Here is a 24,597-nt window from a genome sequence, read left to right on the forward strand (position 1 = left end):
CAATCCATGGAGCAAAGACTGCATATGAAACTAGTTTACATGACTACATTTTAAGGTAAACATTCAAATAATATTAACTGAAAATGAACGGTAGAAAGAATCTTTAGTCAAGGATACCATCTATGAACACAAATTTCTATTTTAGAATTTAGTTGACTTGTTGATAAAACTAATTTGGCAATGAAAAGAATGTTTCATATAAAATTAATAATAATTGGGCATTTCAAAATGTTTATTTCATGAAGAAAAAAGAACAAGACACATGCAGAGGAAGTAATGAATTATTTTAAGTTGAATATATACTACTTTAATTAAATCTTACTACCTCTCGATATACTGTACATTTTTAACTTATATGTTTAAGATATGACTCCAATTTTTATCTTTTTGAGCTTGGCAGATCTAGCAAGCAGTTGTTTTCTATTTTGAAAACTGTTTTTGAATATGAGATAATCTTATGTAGAAAAAGGGTTTGAGAAGCATGCATTATTTTAAATACATAACAGATTCATTTTAGCCAGCATTGTAAAAAATACTCAATATATCATTAAGACACATTTTAGAAGAGACTATATTTAGGAATTGATTCCTCAGTGTTAAAAGAAAGTTAGTGGAAAGGGGAGTTCATTTGAATCTGTCTATGCTCCCAGTTGGGGTCACATAAGCAGGTCGGTTTTAACAGCTTCCAGAGAATTCCCAGAGGGCCCTCACCTCAGACCAACAAGACCATCTTGGCAGACAATTGCCTATTGGCTATTGCTAGGCTCTGAGCAAATGAGTCAGGAAGCCTGGGAGGGCACAAAGCACTGACCCAAATCTCTGGACTCTTCTACCTCCTCCAGATCTGCTGTGAATTGTCCCCTACATCCACCATCAACTTGAGTCTCACAGTACAGTCAGGTCAAAGAAAGAGTTGGGGCTAAGGAAGCATTTGATGGAAGACAAACGACGATGGCTAAAATCTCAGTAGCCTACGATGATGAAATGAAACAGCATCGCAGAGAGAGAAGCAGTCATGGGACACTGCGTTCCGAGCCTCTTTTTTTTTTTTGGTTTGTTTTGTTTTTATTATCTGAACTGATGAGCTTTGTGAGTAGCACATGAGGAATAATCCTTCCCTGGCATGTCTGTAGTGAAAATTGACAGACATGAGGTTTGTCATATATCTGACACCCACTAAGCACTTAGAATTACTGTCAATAATAATAAAGGGCTGACCTAAAAAATGGTCCCGGACATGATCTTCCGGCTAAGATAAAACAGCTTGTTATCAGACCAAGTCTCCTGCAGAGCCAAATTAGAAAAGCGGGATAAAATATATTACAAGATAAACATAATTGTTTTGAGGACAAAGGAGAGATTATCAGGGCTGCAACAACTTGAGGAGCCAGAATAACGGAGAGAAAGAAAACACAGAGTGGTGAGCCCAATACAGATCCACTCTTTCCTCCAGGCACCAGGCAGGAAATGGAGAAACTAAGTCCTGTAGTCTCACAGGAGTGAGAGATCAGGAAGGAAGACAGTCTCTAGCAAGCTCCAAAGCCCACAGCTGAAGGTCACTGAAGGGCTACACATTAGCAAGGATGCACCTGGAAATGCACCAGCCCTCATAGTGAGAGGTGACAGCAGGCTGGCAGTCCTCCCAGCCCTCGCTCGCTCTCGGCGCCTCCTCTGCCTGGGCTCCCACTTTGGTGGCACTTGAGGAGCCCTTTGGCCCACCGCTGCACTGTGGGAGCCCTTTTCTGAGTTGGCCAAGGCCGGAGCCCACTCCCTCAGCTTGCGGGGAGGTGTGGAGGGAGAGGCGCGAGTGGGAACCAGGGCTGTGCGAGGCACTTGCGGGCCAGCTGGAGTTCCGGGTGGGCGTGGGCTTGGCTGGCCCCACACTCGGAGCAGCTGGCCGGCCCTGCCGGCCCTGAGCAATGAGGGACATAGCACCCGGGCCAGTGGCTGCGGACGGTGTACTGAATCCCCCAGCAGTGCCAGCCCACCGGCGCTGTGCTCGACTTCTCACCCGGCGTTAGCTGCCTTCCCGCGGGGCAGGGCTCAGGACCTGCAGCCCGCCGTGCCTGAGCCTCCCACCCACTCCATGGGCTCCTGTGCGGCCCAAGCCTCCCCAACGAGCACCATCCTCTGCTCCACGGCACCCAGTCCCATCCACCACCCAAGGGCTGAGGAATGCGGGCACACGGCACAGGGACTGGCAGGCAGCTCCACCTGCAGCCGTGGTGCGGGACCCACCGAGTGAAGCCAGCTGCGCTCCTGAGTCTGGTGGGGCCTTGGAGAACCTTTATGTGTCTTCCTCAGGGATTGTAAATACACCAATCGGCATTCTGTATCTAGCTCAAGGTTTGTAAACACACCAATCAGCACCCTGTGTCTAGCTCAGGGTTTGTGAGTGCACCAATCGACACTCTGTATCTAGCTGCTCTGATGGGGCCTTGGAGAACCTTTATGTCTAGCTCAGGGATTGTAAATACACCAATCGACACTCTGTATCTTGCTCAAGGTTTGTAAACACACCAATCAGCACCCTGTATTTACCTCAAGGTTTGTGAGTGCACCAATGGACACTGTATCTAGCTGCTCTGGTGGGGCCTTGGAGAACCTTTGTGTCCACACTCTGTATCTAACTAATCTGATGGGGTCGTGGAGAACCTTTGTATCTAGCTCAGGCATTGTAAACACACCAGTCAGCACCCTGTCAAAACAGACCACTGGGCTCTATCAATCAGCAGGATGTGGGTGGGGCCAGATAAGAGAATAAAAGCAGGCTGCCCCAGCCAGCAGTGGCAACCCACTCGTGTCCCCTTCCACACTGTGGAAGCTTTGTTCTTTCACTCTTTGCAATAAATCTTGCTGCTGCTCACTCTTTGGGTCCACACTGCTTTTATGAGCTGTAACACTCACCGCCAAAGTCTGCAGCTTCACTCCTGAAGCCAACGAGACCACAAGCCCACCGGGAGGGGAGGAACGAACAACTCCAGATGCGCCGCCTTAAGAGCTATAACACTCACTACGAAGGTCTGCAGTTTCACTCCTGAGCCAGCAAGACCACGAACCCACTAGAAGGAAGAAACTCTGAACACATCCGAACGTCAGAAGGAACAAACTCCAGACGCGCCACCTTAAGAACTGTAACACTCACTGCGACGGTCCGTGGCATCATTCTTGAAGCTAGTGAGACCAAGAACCCACCAATTCCGGACACATTTTGGCGACCACGAAGGGACTTTCACCTATCGCCAAGCAGTGAGACAATCGCCGAGTGGTGAGACCGTCGCCTATCGCCGAGTAGTGAGACAATCGCCAATCGCCAAGCAGTGAGTAGCATCAGACCCCTTTCGCTTGCTATTCTGTCCTATTTTTCATTAGAATTCGGGGGCTAAATACCGGGCACCTGTCGGCCAGTTAAAAGCGACTAGCGTGGCCGCCGGACTAAAGAAACGGGTGTCAGGCTTTCTGGGAAAGGGCTCTCTAACAACCCCCAACTCTTCGGAGTTGGGACCGTTGGTTTGCCTAGAACCAGCTTCCGCTTTTCCTGTACTTCTGGGCTGAGCCGAGGGTCTACAGAGAGGAAAGCCATGCAGCTCCGGGGTCCCAACAACATGTTGGTTGACCCTGTGGCCATGACCGGAACTCTCAAAAGCATGTCGCCCAAGCCAGACTTGCCCATCTATCCTATCTATCCTGACCCTTGCCCTCTGGGTCCTAATGCCGGCCAGACAAACTTCCTCTCACCTCTCCTCTCTGAGGTTAGGCCCGCTTCTAAAAATTGCTACCTGTCTCTGGTGCTTTTCTAGTTTCTCCTATAAGAAAACCAGCTTTTATTTAGATTGGATCAACTGTGGATTGCATTGGATTGGATTAAGCAGCTCAAATTTAGACTGGATTAAGGAGATCAGCCCCAGTCTAACTGCCTGCCAGAAACAAAATAAATGGTCTCTGGGGAAATCAAACCTCAACCAGACTCTCAAATTATTTGTACAATTTTTCATACAAAAGATTCTATATTTTAAAAAAATTACCCAGCATACCAGGAGAAAAGACCAAGTGATCAAAAACTGAGAAAAAAAAAAAAAGTACAATAGAAAGAGACTAACAGGAAGTGTAGATATTAAAGTTAGCAGAAGTTGCCTTTAAAATAACTGTGATTAATATGTTCAAAGAAATAAAGAGCACCATAAAGAACATCAGCAGAGAACTGCCATCTACAAAGACTGGAGTCACATGGAAATTCTGCAGTTGAAATAGGCAGTCCCAGAAATTAAAAATTAAGCTAATTAATAGCAGATTAGGCAAAGTTGAAAAGAGGATTAGAGAACTAGAAAAAAGGTTAATACACAATTTTTGAAAGAGGGATAACGAAACTAATAGTAAATGAAGAATGACTGTCACAAAACGTGGAATATGGGCAAAATAATAAATAACATTTCCTCATAAGGAGAAAAAAGAAACAATGGAATGAAAGAAGTATTTGAAGAGATAATGACAGATAATTTACTGTAACTGATTAGAGACTTTGAGCAGAAGTGAAAAGGTAGAATTCAGATGAAAGAAACCAAATTACAAAGAGAAAAATTTTAATCATAGAAAAAGGACTGGCAAAGAAGCAACAATAAAAGTTACAGAAGATTTTGCAATGGAAAAAAATTAAAGCCAGAGGTAATGAATGCTGTCTTTAAAGTGCTATAATAAAATGATGACCAACATAGAGCTCTATACAAAGTGAAACTATCCTATAGAAATTGAAGACATTTTAAGTTAAATTAAATCTGAGTAAATACTCTTTAGTCCTTTTCAGGTCGAATAAAAATTATATTAGATGAAAGCATGCAGGTAAAGATGGAATAAACAGCAATACAAAATGTAAGCTGATGGGAAAATTATATGTAACAATAAAATTATTGATTTGTGGGATTTAATATATTAGCAAAATAATTTGAAAATTAATTCAAACTTTTAATGACTATTTTCATCATTACCTTTTTCATTATTATGCGCATGTAATGGTTGTACGTATACATGGAGTACACATGATATTTTCACACAAGCATACAACGTGTAATGATGAGATCAGGGTAATTGGCTATCCATCTCCTCAAGCATTTGCCATTTCTTTGTGTTTAAAAACATGCCAATTCCACTCTTTTGGTTATTTTTAAATACATAATAAATTATTGTTAACTATGGTGACCCTATTACACTTCCAAGTACTAGTTCTTATTCATTCTGACTGTATTTTAGTACCCATCAGCCATTCCCAATTTTTCCCCAGGCAATTCCCATTGGCAGTGACTAATTGCTTGTGTAGAGATAGATTTCTCTCACAGAGTGTTGATTTTAAAGGTTACATAAACTGTTAAAGTCACAGACCAAACCTGTTACAGACTTAACCTGTTAAGCTCATGTTTCAAATTCATAACTGTGATATTTACTGGTTTAATGATAAAAATCACACCTAGTTCCTTCTGGATGAGCCACAGCTTGGCAATTTTCCAGGAAAAATCAATGTTTTTATGGACGTAACCTTTTTAGCATTTTTTTTGATGCTTTATTTTCTCTAGGACTTTTGGATAAACACTGTTCCCTCTCAGTAATTTATATCATAAAAACACAGCACTAAAATCCCTTTTTGTTTTATTCACATGTATATGAAATACCGCCACACCATATTCCTTAAAGCATCATGCCTGTGAGAGAGATCCTCCATGAATAGCTGTGCGGTTCCCCATGGCACTTTCTGTGCTCCTCCAGGATGATACTGGGCTGCAGCTGTTCTGCACACAGGTCTGCACGCACAGTAGGATCATGGCAGGTGTTCAACTTTTTCTATCCAGTATCTGGCATAGTATTTGATAAGAGTGCTTAACTTTGTTTGATGAATAAATAAATGAGAACTTGCATGCATGAATCTGTACTGTGTAAGAGAGGTTACATCTATATAAGAGCGCCTAAAAAGTTATAATAGAGATACCCATTAAAAATAAGTTTAGTTAATTTTGAATGAATGCTTTCATCTCTTTTAATCCATGAAACATTGCTTTTACTATTATATATGACAATATCCTACAGAGGCCAATAGATTAGGTGCGCTCTCTTCTTCCACATTGATTTTTCTGCCCATCGTGAGCCAACCAGCTTTTATGGCTTACTTGAAGGGTATGTAATTCCTTCAGTAAAAAATGAGTTTTCTCCACTTGTCTGTTGTTTTACACTGAAATGAGTACTGGGAACTGATGCATAGTTTGAAGAGCTTAATGTTCTTTTACTCACTTTCTCTGCAAAAATAATTACACAACTGTAAAACTGTGAGCTTTTCAAAGCATCAAGTTCTTGATATATATGTATATGTACATACATGTATATGTGGATATATATGTATATGTACATGTATATGTGGATATATATGTATATGTACATATATATGTATATGTAGATACATATGTATATGTACATATATGTATATATATATGCACACATGAATTTCTCCTTGTCCAAGTGTCTAACACCTAAGGAAATTTATTTTGATACAGAACCTTTCCTAGATGTGTAAAAGAAGAAATAAGCTTTACTTACAAATAATTGTACTCAGACTCATGATCACGATCTCATTTACTGAAGAGAACTATGTCTTATGAACTATGCCTTCACTAGGTACTGGTTAAGAGATTTTCTCCACTTATGACACTCTTCATAAAGTAAACATTAAGACTTTGCATTTATAGTAGATGCTAACACAAGCACTTTTCACATTATGAACTTGTGGGTACCATTTTGTTAAAACATTTTGCCTTTCCACAACTCTGTAACTATAAAAAATTATGAAATTTATTGAAATGTAAAAACTGTTGTCCCTTTAAAAACTGAAGTGTGAATACTTTTAAACTCACTTCCAGTGATAGAAGGAGATTGTGTGTAGACTTTAAAGTATACCCAGCAACATCAACTAGCTACTTTCCTGAATCGTGAATGCAGCACCATTTAAGCAAGCATAGGAAAAAGAAAACTAACAAAAGGAGCAAGGTAAAGCAAAATCTAATACATGTTCAGTATTCTAAAATGCCTCTGGCTTCCCTCTAGCTAGAGTGGATAATAATTTTTCAAAGACGGGCTTATTTTAAATGGCTAGTAAAATGATATCAAACATTTTCTTAGGCATATATTTAAATAGAGAAGAAATATATTGCTGGTGTTGATTACAACTCAATGGCCGTCAGAAGACAGTAACTTTTAGGATTCCATTAAATGCTGATACTAGCCAAAAAGAAAAAGGAAATAAAACATCAGACCACAGTTTCAAATACAGTATAGAGAGCACACACTGGCTATGCTATCTAGAGACAGAGATAAAGAACTATCTCATAAAGACAGAGATAAAGAACTATCTCTTCCTCTAGATAGTACAGCCAGTCTGTCCTCTCTGCACTGTATTTGAAACAGTGGTCTGATGTTTTCTTTCCTGTTTAAGAAACTCTACTCTGGCCGGGCATGGTGGCACATGCCTGTAATCCCAGCCCTTTCGGAGGCCGAGTCTGGCGGATCAGCAGATCGAGACCATCCTGGTTAACACGGTGAAACCCCATCCCTACTAAAAACACAAAAATTAGCCGGGCGTGGTGGCGGGCGCCTTTAGTCCCAGCTACTCAAGAGGCTGAGGCACAAGAATCGCTTGAACCCGGGAGGCAGAGGTTGCAGTAAGCCGAGATTGCACCACTGCACTCCAGCCTGGCGACAGAGCAAGACTCCGACACACACACACACACACACACACACAAAAGAAACTCTACTCTGTGCTTGATTCTGTTCACAGGCTGCTGCTCAAGCTTCCACTGACGCGAATGTGATGTGGCATTAAAAACACTCCAGGGTGCCCTTTCACTTGGAAAAAATATACATACACATATACATTGCCTTTAAGTATAGTAGAGCCAAGTACAATATACTATATATAATATACATTATATAAACACGTTATGTATACATTATACAACGTGTACTACATGCACATTATATAATGTGTAATAGTGTAAAAATAGAAAAATAAAAAATATGTTGTCCTTAGACTATCTTTAATTTGTAAATGTTTCAAAAAGAGAAACTAGAATTTTCATTGCTCTCAATGAGAAAAGAAAGAAAAGTGCAAAAAAGGGAATTGGATAGAGCCTTATCAGAGTTATGTAAAAGAACTACATTTTTCTATATTGGAAAATAAATCTAATTTTTATTTCTAAATTTGTGTTTTGCCTCTGCATATATTATGCCAATAAGAATGATGCCTCAGTGATCTTTAGCCATGTTTTTTCTGCCTAATTCAAAGTATTAACCATAATATCTCACTCTTCTCAGGGACTCTGAACCAAAAACCAATGATAGTAAGGAATAGACTATTTCTTTTTTACCAATACTAAGAATTAAAGGGTTAAGTTAAGTAAGACAAACTCTCTGCTGATCAGTGCCTGCGAGACAACAGTGAAAAACAAATCAGCACTCATTCCCCAGGTTAGGAAGTGCATAATATGTTAATGTCGACTCTATAATATGGGACTTGCTTGCATTATTAATTGCTAACTCATTACTCAAAAAGTGTTCATTCTACAATACTATTAGGCAAGTGTGTTTGCACTGTGAAGACCAAGCAAAAATAACCTCCGCAATTGTTGAATGGTACAATTAGAAACACATGATTTCTAAATTGCCATTATCACGGCCAAAAAAATGATAAAAATAATTAGTTGCCAACTTGGGAAAAAATATATATCTTTGCCATGTCAAAGAGTATCAAGAATACTTTGGCAGTTTCTGGAATGCAGCGTATTAATAATTTTCAGAATCTATCAGGAGCCTGATGCCACTGAGACCTGCCTTCTGACACCATAGAATATGTGGCTTTTGTCTAACCCACACACTGGACCTGGAAGTTCCTAGGTTACTAGGCTAAGCAAGTGCTTAAGATACTGTCTGTTCTAAAAGTCAAAATGGCTCCAAATGCTTGTCTATGCTTTTTAACAATATTACATTTATTTATTTTGTGGTGGTAACATGTATTTATGAAATCTTCAAAGTTATATAGGTTTATTTAGAATAACATGCAATTTTATTTGGTAAAGCAAGTGAATTTTGCTCAGAATTCTTTATGCTGTTTTTTTTTTCTTTTAGATGAGACCAGGATAACTCATCTGTGGTATGTGTTACAAGAGTAGTGTCTAGCGTCATACTTGAAAGTGGAGAGATGGTGACCATGGGGACAGAAAAGTTCTGGGAAGCAGACATGGACTACTGGATTTCCATGAAAACAAAAGTCACATCCAGAATACATTAAATTCTAAAACATACATGCTCAATCAACATGCGAAGATACTGAAAGGACTTTGGGCTTATTAATTTTATGTTATTCATCCCTAGCTGTTCAAAAGTACTCATTAAGATTGTTCTGGTATGTAGAATGTAAATAAAATTTATAGCTTTATTTCATATATTTGAAGCGCTAGCATAATACCTGGAATTATGACACCTCTCCCTATATGCTTTTAAAAATAAAAATATAAATTAGAAATATACTATTTAAAATAAAAATGTATACTGTTAATATATGTTGTTCAAAGTTGTTGACTTTTACAACATTATAAAGCTATATTCACGATGAAATCTTAAGAAAATGAGAAGCACTGAATAGATAGATTTTTTGTTGTTTGTTGCTTTTATGCTTTTGGTTTTCTTTTGCTTATCTGAGGACACTAGTAACTAAGATTTTGGAAATTTTTTTCCTAAAATAATTTTTAAACATTTCTTAATAAAAGGATATGGGACATAATTTGAGCTTCTCATAATGACTAATCTTTACTTGGCAGAACTCATCGTACACATTTCTGTGATACAACAATGCTCTCAGGCCTTCTGAGCTCTGCTGAGTTGGTGATTAAAACACACCTGGTTGCTGTCTTATTTTAGTCTTCATATCTCACCTGTGGCCTGCCTTCTTCCCTGCTGTCAATCAATTGCATGTTTCTCTGAAGCCTGTGTTCTTGTCTCCAACAGAAATTCCCAGGATCTGCTATTCTCTAAGGTTGTAAGCTATGCCATCAAAAGTATTGAGTTCTGAATGCATCATTTCTTCAGTTGTGTGTTGAGTGCTTACTGTTTACAACATATTATTAGGTATTGGCTGAGTAAAGATGAAGATGAAATAAGCAATGATCTCTAATATGAAGAACTCACAAACACCAGGAGGAAGAGCCAAATGTGAAGTACGAAGTCGAACAAAGACCCAGAGGAAGAAGTGAGTAATTCTTTCTGGTCTAGGTCAGACAAAATTCACAGACAAACTAGTTGGGCCACCTTGGATATATGAATACAACTATTCCAGGTGGAGAAGGGATGAAAGAAAAGCATTCCAAACAGAAATGAGCAAAGCTGTTGAGCAAAAGCAAATGAGCAGAGCTATCGAGCTGTAAACCTGCATGGTAGGTCCAGGGAAGTCACTGTGGTATAGCGTGATTACAGAGTGAAGGACACAGAGAGGACTGTAGTGCAGGCTTCTCTCTTGGGAGCAGATGCAAGCAGCTTTCCAAGGGTAGTGATGGCGGAACTGGGCCTTCAACTGTCAGCAGGAGAGGGCATAAGTATGTAGGTCAGTGTCAGATTGGAACAGGCCTGAATTTTAATATAAATATGCAATGAAAATTGCAGAGAAGGTTTTAAAGCAGTGAAGTGAGGGGATAGGATCTGTTTTGGAAATACTTAGCGTATTGAGGGGAATGTACTCAGCAATGAGGCAGTGGCTACAGAAAGACCGTCTAGGGGGCCTCTGGAACAAGGCAGAGGGGAGAAAGTAATGACCAAGGGACCGGTGGGGAGGCTGAAAGTTGGGCAGACATTCTGAGGGACTTCAGGAGATCGGAGGAAAGGCAGCTGCTAGTGCAAACGCCTAGATAGATGGAGATATTGGCAAAGGCAAAACAGGCTGCAGGTCATGCAATGCGGCCAGGATGGGACCAGTGAATTTCTTATGGACCATTGCATCTGAGGTACCGGAGGGACGTCTAACAGTAGGGACATGCTGGTAGATGTTTAACGAGCGGCTTTGCTGGCATAACGGATTCCTGATTTATAACATTTGCCAATTTCTGTGGCATAAATAATACTCTCAGGGTAGATTTCATGCTCCCAACAAGAATCTTCCTTTAATTGTGCCTCTTATTATCTTATCTAGTTGCAGTAACTAAAGTGTCCAGGAGGGTATTACAGAATAGTGAAAGTGGTATATTTACAGTGGTAATTGGAATGCTTTTAAATTATTCCATTAAATTGTCACAAATATTTTAAAAAATATACTCTTCCGTATTCATTTTCCTTGTTATCGCTTTGTTGTTTTTGAGGTGGAGTCTTACTCCATCTCCCAGGCTGGAGTGCAGTGGCATGACCTTGACTCACTGCAACCTCCACCTGCCAGGTTTAAGCGATTCTCCTGCCTCAGCTTCCTGAGTAGCTAGAACTACAGGGGCCGGCCACCACGCCCAGCTAATTTTTGTATTTTTAGTAGAGACAGAGTTTCACCATGTTGGCCAGGCTGGTCTCAAACTCCTGATCCCAAGTGATCCGCCTGTCTTGGCCTCCCAAAGTGCTAGGATTACCAGCGTGAGCCACTGTACCCGGCCTCTTTTCCTTATTTTTGATGACATTTATAAAGCTCAATCCAAAATGTGTGCTAAATTTTTATCTACGAATTTTAATATTTATACTTAGTTAAAATATTGTTTTCTAAAATCTACCAATACACGAAATATCCTGTTGTTTAATCATTGTAATACTATTGAAATGAATTTCCATATTTATTGATTTTTTCATTTGCTCCCAAATTCTATGTTAATATTTATTTAGAAGTTTCGAATCAGCATTTATTTATATGTGAGGTTTGCTGTAGTTTTCTTTCTATATGTGTTTTCTCAGGCTTTCCTGTGAAATTCATAAAACTATTTAGAAAATTTCTTATTGGTCTACATGCTGGAGGGGTTTGTAAATCACTGGTGTCATCTCATCCTGCGATATCTTGCATAATGCATCCGGGCCATTTCTTGGTCTCATTCCTTTCTTAGGGTGAATGGAGGATGCTGAGGTCTCAGCATTGAGAGGACCAGGCAGTCACTGAAGTGCATACAAATGGGCCCTACAGAATCTGCCTTTTGCTGCTGCTGAAAAGCAAGGTTAATGGAATTTCCGCAGGAACATGAGCGTTAATATGATTTCCCCATTTGTTCCCTCTCCTCTTTACGCATACATAGCAAATTAATTAAATACTTCTGCAGCATGGCTAAATCCTTGTTATTGTCATGATAAAAAATTAAGCATAATAATTTTAGTGCTAATTATGTATTTTTGGCATAATGTTTCATTCCAACTGAAATACCCTTAAGCACAGGAGAATGGCCATTTAGTGAAAGTGAAACATAAAAGAGAACGCTTTTAGAGTCTTGGATTATTTTTCAATTATAAATAGCCCATAAAGTGACTATTTGTAGCACTTAATATTTATATATAATCACACTTCATAATGAAAGTAGAAAATAACAAATGACAGAAATATTTTTATGATTTTTGTGATCCGGAGTCTTAAAGCTCTGAAAAGACCTTAGTTTAAAATTATTAGTTACTACTTCCATGTAATAAGCACCAATTGTATACCAGATCTCTTAATTTTTCCAACAATTCCTAGCTATATGCAACATCATTTCCATTTTGCAAAAAAGGTTAGCATGCTTAATAAAGTTAAAGAACTTTATCAAAAAGCTTCTAGAGAATGGAGCAGTTTGCTAAGATTGCCTGTAACAAAATACCACAAACAGACCAGCTTAAAGCAACAGGAATTTATTGTCTCACAGTTTTGAGGGCCAGGAGTCTGAAATCAAAATGTCAGGAGGATCACGTTCCCTCCAAACCCTGCCTGTGGAGGACCCTTCTTGTCTCTCCACACCTTCTGGAGGTTGTTGGGAATCTCTGGTGCTCCTTGGCTGGAAGAATCATCAGTCTCCTCCATCTTTACATGGCCTCTTCCTCATGTGCCTCTCTGTCTATGTGTCAAGTTTCCCCTTTTTATAAGGACACTGGTCATGTTGAATTAGGACCCACTCCAATTACCTCATTTTAACTTGATTAATTCTAAAGTGATCTTTTTTTTTTTTTTTTTTTTTTCTCTGAGACGGGGTCTTGCTCTGTTACCCAGGCTGGAGTGCAGTGGCGTGATCTCAGCTCACTGCAACCTCTGACTCCTGGGTTAAAGCGATTCTCCTGTCTTAGCCTCTTGAGTAGCTGGGAATACAGGCGCCAGCATGCCTGGCTAATTTTTGTATTATTAGTAGAGACAGGATTTCACCATGTTGGCCAGGCTGGTCTCAAACTCCTGAACTCAAGTAATCCACGCATCTCAGCCTCCCAAAGTGCTGGGCTTAAAAGTGTGAGCCACCACACCCACCCTGAAATGATCTGTTTCTAAATAAGGTCACATTCTGAGTTATTGGGATTTAGGAATTTGATGTGTGCGTTTTTTTGGAGGGGGGCACAACTTAACCCATAACAGGAAACAAGAAGCAAATATGTATTTGAACCTGGTCTTTCAACTTCAAAACCTACATTTTACTCTGCTGCCCATGTGTTGCCTTTGTAATCAAAACTAAAACCTTTCCATTTAACATTTGAAATTGTTACCTGCCTGTTCACATGGCTATCTTTCCTCCCCAGGCTCTAAGCTATTTTAGGGCAGACATATCATCATATTTCTGATGTTACCCCCACCTTAATAGATAAGTGTCTAGGACACAATTCCTTAGTAAATCTTCATCATGCTGAAGAGAAATGACTCTGTAAAAGGAATGTGGATGGTTATAGTGGTTTAAATATTGAGACTACATATTATAATTCAGTAGTTGAATGTTTTTCATACTTGATGCCAAAGAAATGAGATAAAACTAATAAATTTTGGGATCTGGAATATACTGGATTCCTTGTTGTATGTCACTAACAAACCTTAGAGGTGTAAACATAGGTGTGCCTTTTTTTATAACTTTAATAGGGATGGAATTTTAAAAGCTTGGGGAATTTGGAATTCTGAGCATCCTCATTTAGTTTTTCACAGTGAAAGAGTGTTACTAATTAATTGCAGAAACATCCTAAAATGTAGACACGTAGGAACAGAACTCAAATTGGCTTGAGTTGGCTATAACTCTGTAATTCTGAGACAGGAAGGTATAATATGATAAATAAAAAGGAAAGAGTAGATAAAGGGTGATTTCTAAGGCAAAGGATAATCATGTCGATTCAACAATTTATCTGTTTATTCATTTGTCTATTGATGCATTCATTTTCATTCCATCCATCCAAATAATGCTATACATTGTCAATATGCTAACAACAATGGAAAGGCCTGGTAAGACTGTTCTGGTTCTGTGGCTTCCTTTGGAGTCCTCTCAAATGGTGGCAATTGTTTTTGCTTCATGCTAATGTCTACTGTAGACTAGCTCTGGTGGCACAGAAACCATACATTCTCAGTGTTGCTTCCTAAACAATGTCCCTTTCCTTACTTAAGTATAACCAGTGAAGCTGGGTACTGCGATGCATGTCTGTAGTCCCAGCTACTGGGGAGGCTGAGGCTGGAGGATCCCTTGAACTCAGGAGTTGGAGGCCAGCCTAGGCAACATAGGTAGACTTTGTTTCTAAAAAACAAAGCAAAACAAATGCCATTCTTATCTCATTTCTCCATCACAGAACATTTCAGCACCTTTTTCTCTCTTTCAGAGCTCCTGTTTTCCTTCCTGGACACTGACACGTCTACATGGATCTTCCATTCCTTCTTTGCATGGAATGATCTTGCATGCAGCCATCCACTCTTAAGGCCTGACTGTAAATCTTGCTCTTACTAAACTATATGAACTGTACCACTTGTACAGCCTCAAATCCAGAGATCCCACATCTCCCCATAACCAGATCCACCACTTGAACACTCCCTGTTTGCCACACTGCCCACAGCATGGCCCAACCTTGCTCCTTTCTCTCAAGGGCCAACTTCCCTGTGTGTTACTGCAATTGTAATAATGAATGTAGTTCCAGTATCTAAAAAACTTGCTTCAGGAATACATAAGTCTGGAATAATATATACCCACTGACATCAAGTAAGTTTGGTTTTGGTAGGAGAACTTGATAGGTTAAAAAAAATCATAGGACAGTATATTAACTATTGTTAAGTAAAAGCGGGAAGCACAAGGGAGAGATGCTTAACCCAAGCTTCAAGATTAGATTTAGAGAAGGTTCAAAAACGAAACCTCCTCTCTAAGGGTCTCAGGGAGACTTTCTGGAAAAATGATTTCTAGACTGAATCGTCAAAGACAATTTTCTATTCATTTCTAAACAAATATAGCAATTTTGATCATTATGCAAATAATTTTCATCATAGACATAATACTTAAAATTTTATGTATAACACACAAGACTCTGTTCCTTAACAGTATTTTCTCACCAAGCTATAAGCTTTTCTAAAAAAAAAATAATTAATAATTAAATCTCTGAAGTGCATATATTCTTCCTAAATCAATGCAACATTGTCTTTGTTAACTTTGTTGTTGTTATTTCCTTTTAATAGTACGTTTGCTGTTTGAACACTCGGTCTAACTTCAGTTCATTCAAAAACAGTTCATTTTGAAAGGAACAATAAGGAACAAACGAAATACACACATGATATGGATTGGCTGTATCCCCACCAAATCTCAACTTGAATTCTATCTACCAGAATACCCACATATTGTGGGAGGGACCCAGGGGGAGGTAATTGAATCATGGGGGCTGATCTTTCCCATGCTATTCTTCTGATAGCGAATAAGTCTCACAAGATCTGATGGGTTTATCAGGGGTTTCCGCTTTTGTTTCTTCCTCATTTTCTCTTGCCACCTCCATGTTAGAAGTGCCTCTTTCCTCCCGCCATGATTCTGAGGCCTCCCAGCCATGTAGAACTGTAAGATCAATTCAACCTATTTTTCTTCCCTGCCTTGGGTATGTCTTTTTCAGCAGCATGAAAACAGACTAATACAACACACAATTTTTTTTTTTCTAGCATTTGCAGCTAACAAAAGCAGTTTCCTCTCCTCAGTCAAAACTTTGAAATAATAAACTTGTGATGCTGATTGAATGAAATAATAAAGTGTGTAATTTCTAATAACAATAGTGGTGATATATTATCCCATGCCTTTGATTTCTAATTTGAGAAATAGATATCAATGTATTAACTTATAAGATCCTTAAAATAACCCTTTCAAATAAGCAGGAGAGATGGCACTCTCATTTCACAGACCTAAAGTAGTGTGAGGTATGTTGACCTGACCAAGGTTAAATATCCATCCCCAAATGTAAATTCACCCCTGGTCCTCTTGTAAACGAATGCTTTGAATTGAGTTTCATCTAAATTTTATTACTTGTATTTTTAAAAATATACTTGACCAGTTACTCTATATCTTTCTATTTTGCCCATTTGAAATAAAACTTATTTCCCAAAACAATGCAACAAAAAAAGAAATAAAACACAGAAATGAAAATGGAATATTTAAGACCAAAATTATGTACTTGAGACATCTGTAGCATACTATAACACAATCAGAAAAAAAATGTTAAAGGATATTATTAACTCCTTTGGACCATCATGTTATATCACATGAAAAACTGTAGTTTAGCTTTTCTTCTACTTCAGTTTAAAAAGTAATGGGATGACTTTCATAGGCCAGTCACTGTGCTTGCCACAAGAGCTAGAAAGATGAGCCTGCTTGTCCCCCAAACTCACAGAAGCTTCTGATGCAGTGAGAGAGACACAGATTAATTAGGTAAGATTTGGAGAATATGGTGGGTACTAAAATTATGGCTGCTCTTATAATAAACATCATTGTCATCTCTAATTATTTTAAAATATATGTGATTTATTTTTATATAAATTATATATAAAATAGATATAAGGTTCTTTAGAACATTTATCAATATTCACAATTGCATGTCTTTAATTAGATGCAAAAATCACAGAAAATAAAAAGCTAGAATAAATGCTTCCTCAAACTTCCCCTGTATCTCTTTACAAATCCCACTCCAATAAAAAGTCAAGTTAGATAAATAAAGCTTTTGTAAAACGGAATTATCATAGTTGTAGGGATGAATATTTACATGCCTGAGAGCTCTCCAATCTAATTTATGCCACACTCACCTTGCTCAAACACAATGATGATTTGGATTTGCTATTTGAATTACGAATACTATGCTGAATTCCTAGCAGTCTAAACAGCTGAAAATGGTGTTGGAGGTTAGGGGCTGGTGCCTAGATATTAGCTCTAACAGGTGGATGCAGCTCTGTCATATAAGGTCATGGAAATCACTGCTATCAGCCAGGCATGAAATCTGAGTTATTTTATTAGTGATGGTGGCTGATGGATGACCACAGAATACCAAACTCCAGCTACAGGTGTGGCTGCTTAGTTACAATGTATCTGCCAAAAGATGCAAGGAAAACTCCACATTGGTTCAAGATTATAAAAAATCCACTTTAGATACATTTGTTTCTATATTAAATCAACTCAATAAAAATTAACTATGCTAGGAATCTAGACACCTAATTTCCTCTGAAATATTTACACTCGTTGACAATAAGCATTAATTAGTGCCAGTGTGGGTACTGGTACTCAGTTTATGTTTATTGAAGCAAAATAAAGCTCTAAGTAGGTGGAAAATTTTTTTCAATCACAGAAATAGGTTGAGTATTAAATAGAACAAATTGTATTGTCCAAGCTTATGAAAATAAGGAAGAACTACTTTTACTTTTGTAGAAGAAAAAAAGAATGACTTTTTTCCTAGAGTCAGTGAAGATCTTCAAAAAAACAATAATTTCAGTTGTTTCTAAATCAAATGTTAAACCAATTGTTAGTCTTCCAAGAAAGTTACGTGTACCAGAAAAATTATAAAATGGTTTAAAAATGTATTAAACTCTTTACTTATTTCTAAAGAATCCACGTAACATGAACTAACTCTACACAAAGACAATGTTAGGATTAAGTAAAAAGTGTTAGAACGTGCCTTCCAGACTAAGGTATTAAAAAATCCAACGTACTGTATCTGTAGGGAGAACTTAAAACTTAAAACAATAAGAATGACAACAAAAAGCACAATGATTCAGATAGGACAAAATGAGATTAAATAATTCTACCCCATGTGTCCAAGCAAGGAGATAAACTGTATACTGTGGTGGATCATGTGGCTTCATTACTGTGTAGTCAACTAGACAGACTTAACCCCAGAATAGCATGGTCACCCTGGAAGAATTTTTTTTTTTTCCTTAAAGATCTGTTGAGAATGCAAGGAGGAAAATTTTTGATAATCCTAAATTGGAGTAAATTGTACCTAATTAAGAGAAGACAGAGTGGAAGCTCAAATTTGAGTGGAACTTCTAAATTATATAAACCATCAGTTTTTTTTTTTACACTAAGTGCACAATATATAAAATTACAAAAAAAAATCTCATTGATAAGTTACGTCAACGAATATAAATGTATACTGTACTTTACCACACTTCTGTCCATCTCATTTAATTATTTTAGACATTTGGTTATTTGTAGGAATGACATGCAAACTATTTCACCATCAGCATGGCCCAGGTGATAGCCAGTCATAGCAACCACTAACCAGCTTTCTTTAATTCCAAACAATGGTAACAATAATTCTCACAGTTCACACAGTGGATACTGTAAGCCAAGTATATTTCCTAGTGTTTATCACAATAATGCTCCTACATATGCAAATGATCTCCAACTTAGAGACAATTAAAGTTACATTCAAAGAGTTTTTTGTAAACTGCTCAAAGTAGCATAATTCATAAGCTGAACCCAGGTATGCATGGATCTGACACGCATATGCTCTGTCCATCCACCTCCATGGAGGTGTTCACTGTGATAACTAGAAATGAAAGTCTAGGGTTGGTTACCGCAGAACAGATCAGTAGGTACCCACCAATGGCTTGTCCTTCCCTTTTATACTGTGGAGTTAGGACTAGAGGGTGGCAGTCTAGGTCGGGCTGACGTTCTCAGCACTTATTGCCTAGCTGGGGCCATGTAGCTGAGCTGTGGTCGCAGAACAGGAGTGCAAATGTCAAATACATTTCCATATCTGGCCATGGACCCTCCTCACGTGATACTCTACTCTCTCTCTCTCCCACTCTGACACTGGATTTGACTTCCAGGTTGACCTTAGGTACTCTATGTAGCAAATATAGAGATGGGTAGAAATGGAAAGTTAGTCATAGCTATAGACTTAATAAACGGTGAAGTTTAAAGATATAGCTATTAAGACCAATATGAAAGCATAGCTACAGATGGATATGTTCCTTATTTCAGAAATAAATTCAAGTGATCATCAATGCCTTTTCTTGAAGTCTGTTTACAGATATAATAGGCTAAATAAATATATACATCTGTTTTTGTATGAAAATTATAAATGAACACAGTTGATTATAACTATTTCCTGATGTGCTCTCCATCCTAAAGAAAACATTTATTCAAATTCAACATCAAACCTTATTTGTGAAATTAAATATCACAGATTACCACCAATGTTTAGATAAGAAATTGACAAAATTATTTCACAAAAATAGGGGAATGGCATTCTTTTCTACTCACAGAAAGACAGAGGGTGTAAACTCATCTGCTCTTTATGGGAACTAAGGCGTGAGGATAAATTGTTAGTAACTTCAGACGTAAGAAATCAATCTCTCAATCTTGACAAACTTACATATCTAAAGAAGATATTCTGACTTTAAAAGGTTTGCTTATCGCCACATTTATACAGACTGTTGAGGAAGCTAAGAAAAATATTAAAGTAATGTAAAAATGCCTTCCAAAAAATTTCCCTCTTAATTAGATTTTTTTTTTTTTTTTTGAGATGAAGTTTTGCTCTCGTCACCCAGGCTGGAGTGCAACGGTGCCATCTCGGCTCACTGCAACCTCCGTCTCCCAGGTTCAAGCGATTCTCCTGCCTCAGCCTCCCAAGTAGCTGGGATTACAGGCATGCGCCACCACGCCTGCTAATTTTGTATTTTTAGTAGTGATAGGGTTTCTCCATGTTGGTCAGGCTGGTCTCGAACTCCTAACCTCAGATGATCCCCCACACTTTGGCCGCCCAAAGTGCCGGGATTACAGGCGTGAGCCACCGCACCTGGCCAGATTTTTTTTAAAAAGCATGAGAATAAGACAGGGAGTAGAGTGACAGCGAAGCAAAAGTTTGGAAGTCCCCTTGGAGACAGAGGTGGAGCTGTACCAGGGCCTCTCTGAAGTGTCTGTTATCATGGCATTTGCATAACTTGCATTAGGATAGTTCTTCACAGCCTCAGACCCACTTCTACAGGGATCATCTCATCTGTTCCTGAATGTTAAGTTGGTAGGACAGGTGTGATATTACAGAATAGACAAGGAGGGACAGAGATCATAAAGGAACTTCTATGGTCATACAGATGATAAAAGGTAGTATTAAGAATTGAATACTTTAGTAGTAAGAGTTCAGTACTTTCCTGCCAGCCTTCAACATTTACAGATTACAAAGTATGGCGGATGTCTCATTTTTGCAATTATTTCTCCATACCCCTCATCATGCAATGAGGGGATCGTGATCTCCACTCACGGCATTATGACTTACAGTGCTTCCCTGTAGCTGGAGAAAAATATATTTGCCCCATTAACTTTGACCAAATGAAAAGTGAGTAAACTTGATTTATCCATGTCTGAGCATGTCTGAGGTTAGCGTGCATCTTTCACCCTGGGTTCTGAGTCAGAAGCACTGTGGAGCAGGGCACAGCCTGGAACCGTCTACATAGAGTGTGAACAAGAAGGAATTCCTTGTGAAGCTTATACACAGGTGCTGGAGGAACCTCCTCAGAGCCAGCAACTGTACTCTCTGAAAGCTTTTATCTTTACCTTCCAAATGACATTTGCTAGCAGGCATTCCCCAAGAAGAATGAATATAGAAATAGATAAAGGATGTATTAGCAAAGTTACCAATTGCCTTTATTGAGATAAGAGCCTCAGGAAAATCTTTCTGCTCCCCCAGTTCCCTAAGGTGAACTGGCTTAATGTAAAAAATTAATTCCCTTATTTCATGTCTTGAGGCATTGCCTTTCCACCCTATGTCATTGAAAATTGATGTTGTTGGGAGTTATTTTAGAAGAGAAAATCTCTTACTAAAAAAGAGGAAGAAAGGGGCCCTGCACAAATAAGGCACTTCAGAGGTCCGAAGCCAAACCAAATAGCAGATAAGGAAGCTGAAACAGAAGCTTCTACTGCCAGGAGAGATCCACTATTAATTTGCTGGTCCAAGATACGGAACACAGGAACATGTTGTTGAAATATTTATAAGGAGGACAGCTGAAACCTTATTTAATATGGCCAGAGCTGTCCAGCACATCTCAGGTACGCATACAATAAAACCGTAAATATATTAGGAACATATTGGTCATTATAGTCATTGAGACAAGATGTAAAACTCTTTAACGTGCCTACAAGTAAAGAAATATTCTATAAAATTCAAAGAAGTTTGAAGGCGTATTTTCTTATCATGTTAGGGCAAGTGGCAAATACTTCTTGGCTTGAAATGACTTAATTGTCTTAAGATCTTCATTGTTGTTATCTACAAGGAAGCCACCAGCATCTACAGATAACTACTGCAGAAAAATCTATAATAAGCATTGTCTAAATGATGCCTTACAATGACTGGATTTTTTAGAAAGGTAAGCTGACTTTATCCTGTATTAATAAACAATAAAAAGAAATCTTTTATTATAATTATATAAATAATAACGCTATCATATAATGATATGATCTAGGTTAAAATAGATTATTATGTATGAATGTAACTATAAAAATAGATAAAAAAGAAGATATTCAGACTATTTGTAATTTAGTAAAGACTGAACTATTTTTAATAATAAAATATTGATTCTCCAACTGAAATTCTAAAAATGAACTAAAAGTATAATTTGAATTCTAAATATCTAATAAGGGAATAAAAATTATATGATGAGAATAGTTTTGGCTTGAATTTTTTATGGAGACATAGCTATATTAATTACTTTAAGAAAATATCAGTTCTAATTATGTGCTTAAAAATACTGACTGCACACCAAAGCAATAGAAGAAAATTCTCTTTTCTTGAACCATGACCTGCTGCAAATTTTTCATACTCCTTTAATTTTTTTTACATTTCAATCAATTCCTTTTTTGTATTCAACTCTATTTTATTAAGAATTCAATATATCATTTTAATTTAAACTCATATCAAAACATTATATATTAAACCCACTTAAAAATGTGGTGAACCTCCATTATTTGGAATTTTAAAACTCCATTCAGAATGTACAGGAGTTAGCAAGTTTGATCCTAACAAATGTTCCATAAATAATAAAGGTAAGTATTAATCCTATTTAAAAGATAAGCAGTGGGTAAAATAAAAGGAAAGAAAACCAGAACAAATATTAAGTGACCTCATGATTTCATTTAGCTAGCTTTGCAAAATAGTGCGAAAACATGAAAATAAAATGAATATAATCACCTCATTCAAAAGTACCTTAAAATGACGTGGGTTTCTGTCACATTAAAAACAGTGATTTTCTTTCACTTCTAAATGTTGGCTTGTATGCTAATGAAAAAATATTGTTAGACAATTTAGGATGATTTTGGTGTACCGGAGAAGTTGGAATGAAACACAATAATTTCCAATGTTTGAGAAAGCAGCACACATTTTAAATATTGAAGAATGATTTTTAATTTTAATGATTTAATTTTAATTTTAATGATTTTAATTTTATAAGTATTACTCTGGGGGATTTGGGATATGATTGTATTTGTAAATGATCACTAATGTACATCTATATACATTTCTAAATTACAAATTGACATGTTATAATCTATTCACTATAAAAAGAATTTTATATAGAAACTGGAAAGATATGTATCAGTTTATTGACAGTTGTTAACTTACTCATCAACTTAGTTGTTATCATAGACAGATAAACAATTTTTTATTCTTTTTCTTTCCACTTATGTCTGTATTCCAAATCTGGTTTTACAGTGGTAACTCTATTCCAAAGTCCTCACATAATCGGAAAGTTAGCAACAAGTACTCTACCCCTAAGCCTTTTAACTTTGATTGACTACTACCTTTTTCATAAATAGTACAAATAAAGGTACAATAGATATAAGACATTGGTGTCTATATAACAGGAATATGCATTAAATGGTTATATATACAATATATATATAATATATTATTCTAGTCTTTACTCTTGACAAATAGCATTGTGTGTGTGTGTGTGTGTGTGTGTGTGTGCGCGTGCGTAAAGACTAGGATCTCCAGGAAGGAAGGATCATCAACAAGTTCATGAATTTGTCCCGCTTCATTTCTTCTCGTGGTCATTAGCTTCTGACTTGATTATGATCAAAATAGCTATCAATAAATGAACGCTTTTATTTTTTTCTAAATCTCTAATTTGTCAACAGAATACCTAGCTTAAAAATGTTAAAAAGTGAAACTAAAGTTAAATCTCTGCAAATGAAATGGAATCAGAACATCACCAATCTGTTTATCCTCTTTCCAAACTATGTCTCCTACTTGGGAATGATGATGATACATGGGCTTAATGGTAACATTTATGCACAAAATATTGTTTGCAGTTAATTTTGTAAAATTTGAATATAGATCTACTTCTTCCTCAATATTTAGTTGTACCTCCTTTTTTCAGCCAAGGATCTGTCAGTATAGTACTCTGATAGCAAAAGGTAATTATTGAAGATTTACTTTGACTCTGACGGTGTTCGGGGTTCAGAATCATGCTTGCGCATGTCAGATTCTTTGCCAGAGATGTAATTTGTTCTTGTGGGTCTATGCCAGATACGAGTAAGGCTTCCTGTGGTGCTGTCCAGAACATTAAAGCAACAACCCCCATGATATCTGTGGCTGGCCACCAAAGTCCTATCTAACTCCTGCTAAGCTAATGTGGAACTTAAAATTAACCTGTACCAAAGTATTTTAAAAATCACTGAAATTAGTATTATGTCACCGTGTTCACAATTCTCAAAAAAGACAGAACAACTTCAAATATAACTTGAAATTAAGACAGCAACCATGGACACGTTAACTTTACAAATAAGGCAAATACTAACGTTAGACCGATGAAGTTTACCTTTAAGAAAAAAAGAAGAAGAAGAAGAAGAAGAAATTTTCACAGGGTGGGTTCTCTTGAAGCAATGAACCCAAAATGAATTATCTATGAGCAAAGAGAGGTTGAGTCCTGTAAACCTAATTTTATAGATAAAGAATTGGAGGACCACTCTGAACATAGAATGAGACTATAATGGTCCCCAGAATTATCCTGATTATGATGATTCATCTTACCTTTATGCCCGACTGCCAATTTACCTAATTGACCAGGAAACAGAGTTAACAGAAAAATTACAATTACGCAAATGATAATTATCTTTTCTCTAAAGACTTTGGGAGGCAAAATCATGAATAGTCAATAAAATCTAACCATGACCTTTCCTAGTA

The 24,597-nt window shown here is 37.5% G+C and overlaps 1 protein-coding gene across 3 annotated transcripts in view, besides 1 other annotated feature; it reads right to left on the bottom strand.

The window, feature by feature from the left end:
• The window catches only part of CSMD1 (CUB and Sushi multiple domains 1), a 2,059,554-nt gene that overhangs the window by 1,645,672 nt on the left and 389,285 nt on the right, over positions 1-24,597 (bottom strand). The gene's annotated exons all lie outside the window — the stretch shown is intronic.
• Positions 1,337-1,838: an enhancer, noted in NCBI's record as "H3K4me1 hESC enhancer chr8:4439891-4440392 (GRCh37/hg19 assembly coordinates)". NCBI's record gives its function as "activates a minimal SCP1, AML or CMV promoter by ChIP-STARR-seq in primed H9 embryonic stem cells {active_cell/tissue: H9 hESC(primed)}" and the evidence as "EXISTENCE:reporter gene assay evidence [ECO:0000049][PMID:30033119]".

This window comes from Homo sapiens, chromosome 8 (assembly GCF_000001405.40).
Source record: "Homo sapiens chromosome 8, GRCh38.p14 Primary Assembly".
Lineage (NCBI taxonomy): Eukaryota > Metazoa > Chordata > Mammalia > Primates > Hominidae > Homo > Homo sapiens.